General features: G+C 42.7%; 1 pseudogene; it reads left to right on the forward strand.

Moving 5' to 3' along the window:
• The first annotated feature begins 5,061 nt into the window (after positions 1 to 5,061).
• On the forward strand, positions 5,062 to 8,570 carry LOC107987058 (uncharacterized; annotated as a pseudogene).
• The last annotated feature ends 477 nt before the right edge of the window (positions 8,571 to 9,047 follow it).

Below are 9,047 nucleotides of genomic sequence, written 5' to 3' on the forward strand. Positions count from 1 at the left end.
TGTGGCTCAGATTTGTTTATTGATATTATGAAATATTCTTGAAAATATAGGGAGAAGAGAACAAAAGTTACAAAGGATAAACAGTCGTCTTAATAGTATTCAGCTCCAAGAAAGAAAAGATGCAAGGAATACGCTGAGATGAAGTTTGGATTGAATTCTACGTTTGTAAAATGATAATATGCTTTTTGCTAGAAAACAACAAAGCTCTTTAAGAAAATTAGTAATTGGGGGTCTTTAAGTATTCAGAAGTGTGAGAACTGTGATGCTTGATGGTGATGCATACTGCAGAATTCTCTGTGGGTTATAAAGCCAATTTCTTCAAGAGGCACTGCAGCTGAAGGCTGCCAAGGGAAAAATATATTTGAGATTTAAGGTGGATCTTTTGTTCAAAAGTGTACAAAAAAGTAAAAAATTTAAGAAACAGGCAAATTTTGTTGTCAGCCATTTTATGCTTGTGCTTATCTTCTGTAGCCAAGTTTCAAGAGGAGAAATATAAACAAAGCAAGATCCCTACTTCATTTGATTATAAAACATGGTGCAAATTTAAGATTTCATGTTGGAAAAGTATTTTCAGTTGTTGTAAGGACACTTTTCTTTTCTTCTCCAAATTTTCTAACTTGACCAAAATATACCTTTAAATAAGAATTATTTCTCCTTATCAAAAACAATTGCAGAACTAGAAATACTTTAGGCTGTTAGTTCCAGGATGCATCTGGTATTATCTGCATGTATACCTCTTGCAACATGGAGACAAGGCTACAGGATCAGCCACAACTGAGGAAATGAAACTAGTTAGACCGGTGGTTCCCAGATTGTGGTCCCCAGACAGTAACATCAGCTTTACCTGGGAACTTAGTAGTGCAAATTCTCTAGCCCCACTTCAGAGCTACAGAACCAGGAACTCCAAAAGTGGGGGAGGGGGGACATAATCATGTTTTAATAAGTTCCTCTGATGATTCTGATGATGCACCCTCAGGTTTGAGAACCGCTGAGTTAGGCTAGCTACTGTTGGCAAATATTGGATTCAATAAACTGTCCTGCACCCTCACTTGCTCTTCTGAACACTAGTGCTTTCTGTAGCTTCTTGTCACCATGAGATCTACTAAATTCTGAAAACATAACTTTTTCTAGTGTGTTAAAAAACACTTTTTCACACTTTCTTCTCTTCTCAGACATAGCCTATATGTTGCTTAATACAAGAACTGATATATAGTAACTACTCAATAATTACTAGTTCCCCTTCTCTTGTTCCTCAGATATTTGCTTGTTATTTATTAACTGAAAGAGATGGAGACAAAATACTGGTATCCCTAAAACATTTAAAGGTAAATTCAGTAAGTGCATTGATAATTATTCTTTTTTTTTTTTTTTTTTTTTTTTTTGAGACGGAGTCTTGCTCTGTCGCCGAGGCTGGAGTGTAGTGGCACCATCTCGGCTCACTGCGAGCTCTGCCTCCTGGGTTCACACCATTCTCTTGCCTCAGCCTCCCGAGTAGCTGGGACTACAGGCACCCGTCACCACTCCAGGGTAATTTTTTGTATTTTTAGTAGAGACGGGGTTTCACCGTGTTAGCCAGGATGGTCTTGATCTGCTGACCTTGTGATCCGCCCGCCTCGGCCTCTCAAGGTGCTGGCATTACAGGCGTGAGCCACCGTGCCTGGCCAATAATTATTCTTGACACAAACTATACTCTTATGTTTAACACATGAAATATGACAATATTTTCTAAAAGCTGTGGAAGTTAGAAGAATCAAAATGAAGTCAACTGTGCTAAAAAAAAAAATCCTAACAAATAGAGCTGGGGAAGGCCTCAAAGAGAGAGGTTCTCATGCATAAATGTCTCATAACAAAAACTATCACAAAAGACTCTACAAGAACCACAACCTTGCACAAAGGCCATCACAACCTTACACAAAAAGTACTTCTGCAGAGTCTGCCCTGCAACTGCCTATCCAACCTTGGACTAGCATCACCCTTCTTATTGAACCAGGTAGTCAGGGATAATTATCTCAAAACATTATATAATCCTCTTCATTTTTCCTTTAAAAACCTTTGTCTTCCTTTACCTTCCTGAATATGTACATAGTTTACTATGGCATGCATAGATTATCACTTTCTTCTACAGAGCCTCATTCTGTTTGCCATTTAGGTTGACAGAGCAAAGCAAATTAAACATATTCCTTATCTTTCTAAACAAATAACCTATCTTTTATTTTATATCAATAGTGAATTAAAAACTAGGATTACAAATAAATCTTATTGTTTCCTGATATTTCTATATTTTCTCCTTAAAAGCAAAAATTAAATATCAGTGTCCTCATTATCATTTAAAAACATTTCCAGCACTTTCCATTTTTTCGTTAGGAAATATCCATGTGAAAGTTGTGGATGTCTACAAGGCGTTCCTCCTGGGCTTCATTTTTTTAGGGCCTGCATCCTTTGAATGACCCCCATTTTAGTCAAATGTCAATAATACGATTTAGTGGCTACTTGCTGAGGAAGGGTCTCAGAGATGAATGAGAATACCCATGTTTTGCTTATCTCAAAAAAATTTGAATTGTACCAGTGTTTTTCCTCAGATTATCCAGCAATGATTTTCAGACTTAGGTCTCTGCAAAAATCATCTCATGATCTTGTTTAAAGATTTAGAATTCACCTCTCCAGATGATTGATATAGTGGTCTAGGGTGGAATCAGAGGAAAAATATGTATTTTCAACTAGCACTCAAGTATTTTGTGCAGGTTGTCAGAGATCACACACTGAGAAAAAATAGATTGGGTCCCTCCCTTGATTCTGTACCCATTTGCTTAAGTGTTGGTATAATAGAGCATGTTGCCAGTTGTGATGGTTAATGCTGAGTGTCAACTTGATTAGACTGAAGGATACAAAGTACTGATCCTGTGTCTGTCTCTGAGGGTGTTGCCAAAGGAGATTAATATTTGAGTCAGTGGGCTGGGAAACATAGACCCACCCTTAATCTGGATGGGCACAATCTAATCAGCTTCCAGTGCAGCTGGAATATCAGCAGGCAGAAAAATGTGAAAAGAGAGACTGGCTTAGCCTCCCAGCCTACATCTTTCTCGCATGTTGGATACTTCCTGCCCTCAGACATCGGACTTCAAGTTCTTCAGTTCTGGAACTTGGACTGGCTCTCCTTGTTCCTTAGCCTGCAGAGGGCCTATTGTGGGACCTTGTGATCATGTGAGTTAGTACTTAATAAACTCCCATATATATATATATATAATCTAACTAATCTCCTATTAGTTCTGTCTCTCTAGGGAGCCCTGACTAATACAGATATTGGTGCCAGGAGTGGTTCTAGAGAAACAGAATATTAAGGATGGAGTTCTTTTGTTGGTTTTGGGGTTTCTGGAGTTAGCTGCTTAATATGATTGACCCAAAAATGCTAAAGACACTATTTCTAATAGTATGGAGAACACTGATAGTCCTTGGTGTGAACTGCTTAGAGAGTTATGCAAAATAAATGCATTTGACACCATTCATGAGAGGCAAGGAGTTTAGTGACTCTATACATAATACCTTTGACTATATGTGGAGAACCAAAGAACATAATGAAGCTGGTTGGTTGCTCCTAAGTTCAGTGGACAAAGTGATGAAAGAAAATGATGAACTCAGGGATTCTGTCTCCTGGCTTCAGAAGCAGATACTGAGCCTCAGATCTGCTGAGATAGTCCTGAGTGAGAGTCTTACCCCCTGTAGAGAAAGAGCTGAAATTGTAGAAAAACAGACACAAGCTCTTATCATGTCAGTGGCTGAACTGCAACAAAATGTGCACGCACAGCCTCACCAGGTGTCTACCCTTAAAGTGAGGGCATTGACTAGAAAAATAATGGGATCCTGAAACTTGGTTGGGGATGTGTGGGAGGACCCTGATGAAGCTGGGGACACTGAGTTTGAACATTTTTGCCAGAGGAAACAGCTTCCCCATCCCCAGTAGTGGCAACGTCCCCTCACCAACCCATGCTGCCATCAGCCTTTCCACCTTTGTCTGAGTAGATAAACCCTATGTTGCCTGAGGCAACAGTGATGGCCTCCCCAGGGATAGTTGCCAGGCAAGATAATGTTGATTCTCCTCAGGAGTCACCCCCAACACCCCTGTTTGCTCCTATACCTATAACTAGACTAAAGTCCCAGCAGACCCCTGGAGATGAGGTTGAGAGTGTGACCCATGAGGAGGTCCACTACACTCAAAAAGAATTGCTTGAGTTTTCTAATTTATGTGAAAAGAAATCTGGAGAACAGGCATGGGAATGGATATTAAGGGTGTGGGATAATGGTGGAAGGAACATAGAGTTGGATCAGGCAGAATTTCTTGCTTTGGGCCACTAATTAGGGACTCTGCATTTAATGTTGCAGCTCAGGGAGTTAAAAAAAGGTCCTAATAGTTTATTTGCTTGGTTAGCTGAAATATAGATTAAAAGATGGCCCATCGTCAGTGAGTGGGAAATCCCTTATCTCCCTTGATTTAAAGTAGAGGAAGGGATCCAAAAACTTAGGGAGATTGGGATGGTGAAGTGGATTAGTCACTTTAGACCTACTCATCCCAGCTGGGAGGGTTCAGAAGATAAGCCCTTGGCCAATGACTTGTGAAATAGAATTGTGAGGGCACGTCCTGCATATTTGAAGAGCCCTGTAATTGCTCTTCTCCGTATGTCATATCTAACAGTGGGAACTGCAGTCTCTCAACTACAAAATTTAAATACAATGGGAATCATTGGATCCCGAGGTTGCAGGAGCCAAGTGGTGGCACTCAGCTGTCGAAGGCAAGGTGGGTGTAGCTACTGTAATGCAGAGCAGAGGTAAAGCGGCAATCAGAATAGTCTGACTCATGTAGAGCTCTGGCATTGGCTAACTAATCATGGTGTTCCTAGAAGTGAAATTGATAGGAAGCCTACCACCTTCCTACTTAATTTATACAAGCAGAAAAGGTCAAATGGACAAAAGACTAATTTGAATTATAAAAACAGAGAATCACAGCCTCTCAATCAATTTCCAGACTTGAGCCAGCTTACAGACCCAGAACCCCATGAATGAAGGGGAGGCCAGATCCCCTTGAGGAAGGACCCCACTACATTACCATTAACTTATGCAGTGAATCTTTCTCCCATCCTTCTCCAAGGAGACCTCCGGCCTTTTACCAGGGTAACTATGCATTGGGAAAGGGAAATGATCAGACATTGTGGGGACTACTGGACACTGGCTCTGAGCTGATCTTGATTCCAGGGGACCCAAAACACCATTGTGGTCCTCCAGTTAAAGTAGGGGCTTATGGAGGTCGTGTAATTAATGGAGTTATAGCTCAGGTCTGACTTACAGTGGGTCCAGTGGGTCCCTGGACTTATCCTGTGATTATTTCTCCAGTGCCAGCATGCATAATTGGCATAGACATACTTAGCAGCTGGCAGAACACTCACATTGGCTTCCTGACTGGTAGGGTGAGGGCTATGATGGTGGGAAAGGCCAAATGGAAGTCATTAGAGCTGCCTGTACATAGAAAAATAGTAAATCAAAAATAATGTCGCATCCCTGGAGGGACTGCAGAGATTAGTGCCACCACCACGGACCTGAAAGATGCAGGTGTGGTGATTCCCACCACATCCCCATTCAACTCTCCCATTTGGCCTGTGCAGAAGACAGATGGGTCTGGGAGAATGACAGTGGATTATCATAAGCTTAACCAAGTGGTGACTCCAATTGCAGCTGCTGTACCAGATGTGGTTTCATTGCTTGAGCAAATGAACACTTCTCCTGGTAACTGGTATGTAGCCATTGGCTTGGCAAATCCCTTTTTCTCCATTCCTGTCCATATGGCCTACCAGAAACAATTTGCCTTCAGCTGGCAAGGCCAGCAATATACCTTTGTTGTCCTACCTCAGGGGTGTATCAACTCTCTGGCTTTGTGTCATAATCTTATTTAGAGAGAACTTGATCACTTTTTGCTTCTGCAAGATATCACACTGGTCCATTACATTAATGACATTATGCTGATTGGATCCAGTGAGCAAGAAGGAGCAAACACACTGGACTTATTGGTGAAACATTTGCATGCCAGAGGATGAGAAATAAATCTGACTAAAATTCAGGGAACTTCTACCTCAGTAAAATTTCTAGGGGTCCAGTGGTGTGGGGCCTGTTGAGATATTTCTTCTAAGGTGAAGGATAAGTTGCTGCATTTGGCCTCTCCTACAACCAAGAAAGAGGCACAATGCCTAGTGGGCCTATTTGGATTTTGGAGGCAACACATTCCTCATTTGGGTGTGTTACTCCAGCCCATTTATCGAGTGATCGGAAAGGCTGCCAGTTTTGAGTGGGATCCAGAACAGGGCAAGGGTCTGCAACAGGTCCAGGCTGCTGCGCAAGCTGCTCTGCTGCTCGGACCATATGACCCAGCACATCCAATGGTGTTCCAGGTGTCAGTGGCAGATAGGGATGCTGTTTTGAGCCTTTGGTAGGCCCCCATAGGTGAATCACGGTGCGGGCCTCTAGGACTTTGGAGCAAGGCTCTGCCATCTTCTGCAGGTAACTACTCTCCTTTTGAGAGACAGCCCTTGGCCTGTTACTAGGCTTTGGTGGAAACTGAATGTTTGACTATGGGCCAACAAGACACCATGCAACCTGAACTGCCTATCATGAAGTGGGTGCATTCTGACCCATCTAGCCATAAAGTGGATCATGCACTGCAGCATTCCATCATCAAATGGAAGTGGTATATATGTGATTGGGCTCAAGCAGGTCCTGAAGGCACAAGTAAGTTACATGAGGAAGTGGCTCAAATGCCCATGGCCTCCACTCCTGCCATCCTGCCTTCTCTTCCCTAGCCTGCACTGATGGCCTCATGGGGAGTTTCCTATGATCAATAGACGGAGGAAGAGAAGACTAGGGTCTGGCTCACAGACGGTTCTGCATGATATGCAGGCACCACCTGAAAGTGGACAGCTGCAGCACTACAGTCCCTTTCTAGGACATCCCTGAAGGACAGCAGTGAAGGGAAATCTTCCCAGTGGGCAGAACTTTGAGCAGTGCAGCTGGCTGTGCACTATACATGAAGGAGAAATTGCCAGATGTGCAATTATATACTGATTCATGGGCTGTAGCCAATGGTTTGGCTGGATGGCCAGAGACTTGGAAGAAGCATGACTGGAAAATTGGTGACAAGAAAATGTGAGGAAGAGGTATGTGGATGGACCTCTCTGAGTGGTCAAAAACTGTGAAGATATTTGTATCCCATATGAGTGCTCACCAATGGGTGACCTCAGCAGAGGAGGATTTTAATAATCAAGTGGATAGGATGACCTGTTCTGTGGACACCACTCAGCCTCTTTCCCCAGCCACCCCTGTCATCACCCAATGGGTCCATGAACAAAGTGGTCATCATGGCAGGGATGGAGGTTATGCATGAGCTCAGCAACATGGACTTCCATTCACCAAGGCTGAGCTGGCTATGGCCACTGCTGAGTGCCCAATTTTCCAGCAGCTGAGGCCAACACTGAGCCCTCGATATGGCACCATTCCTCAGGGTGATCAGCCAGCTACCTGGTGGCAGGTTGATTATAGTGGACCTCTTCCATCATGGAAAGGGCAGAGGTTTGTCCTCACTGGAATAGACACTTACTCCAGATATGGGTTTGCCTACTCTGCATGCAATGCTTCTGCCAAGACTATCATCCATGGACTCATGGAATGTCTTATCCACTGGCATGGTACTCCACACAGCATTGCCTCTGACTAAGACACTCACTTAACAGCTAAAGAAGTGTGGCAGTGGGCTCATGCTCATGGAGTTCACTGGTCTTATCATGTTCCCCATCACCCTGAAGCAGCTGATTGATAGAACGGTGGAATGGCCTTTTGAAGTCACAATTACAATGCCAACTAGGTGACAACACTTTGCAGGGATGGGGCAAAGTTCTTAAGAAGGCCATGTATGCTCTGAATCAGTGTCCAATATATGGTACTGTTTCTCCCATAGCCAGGATTTACAGGTCCAGGAACCAAGGGGTGGAAGTAGAAGTGACACCACTCACCATCACCCCTAATGACCCATGAGCAAAATTTTTCCTTCCTGTTTCCACGACATTATGTTCTGCCAGCATAGAGGTCTTAGTTCCAGAGAGAGGAATGCTGCCACCAGGAGACACAACAATAATTCCATTAAACTGGGAGTTAAGATTGCCACCTGGACACTTGGGCTCCTCCTACCTTTAAGTTAACAGGCTAAGAAGGGAGTTACAGTGTTGACTGGGGTGATTGACCCAGACTATCAAGATGAAATTAGTCTACTACTCCACAATGGAGGTAAGGAAGAGTATGCATGGAATACAGGAGATCGATTAGGGCATCTCTTAGTATTACCATGCCCTGTGATTCAGGTCAATGGGAAACTACAACAGATCAGTCCAGCCAGGACTACAAATGGCCCAGACCCTTTAGGAATAAAGGTTTGGGCCACTCCACCAGGAAAAAAACCACAACCTGCTAAGATGCTTGCTGAAGGCAAAGGGAATACAGAATGGGTAGTAGAAGACGGTAGTCATCAATATCAGCTATGATCACATGACCAGCTGCAGAAATGAGGACTGTAATTGTCATGATTATTTCCTCCTTCTGTAAAAACCTGTTTGTGCATGTATATATTTGTACTAAGAAAATATCTTCATTTTATTTCCTGTTTACTTTATCATGTGACATGAGATTTATTGACTTCACATCAGCATTCAAGTATTGTTAACTTTATGTAATAGTATTTGAGTTGGAGACTGGTACATTTATGGTTGTATGAAGGAAGGATAGTTGTATTATGTTAGGCATAATTATGACCTTATTATTGTCTTTATTTGAAGATTATGATCTCACGAGATGTGTATGGGTTCAAGTTGGCGAGGGGTGGACTTCTGATGGTTAATATTGAGTGTTAACTTGATTGGATTGAAGGATACAAACTTTTGATCCCATGTGTGTCTGTGAGGGTGTTGCCAAAGGAGATTAATATTTGAGTCAGTGGGCTGGGAAAGGCAGACCCACCCTTA

This window comes from Homo sapiens, chromosome 9 (genome assembly GCF_000001405.40).
Source record: "Homo sapiens chromosome 9, GRCh38.p14 Primary Assembly".
Lineage (NCBI taxonomy): Eukaryota > Metazoa > Chordata > Mammalia > Primates > Hominidae > Homo > Homo sapiens.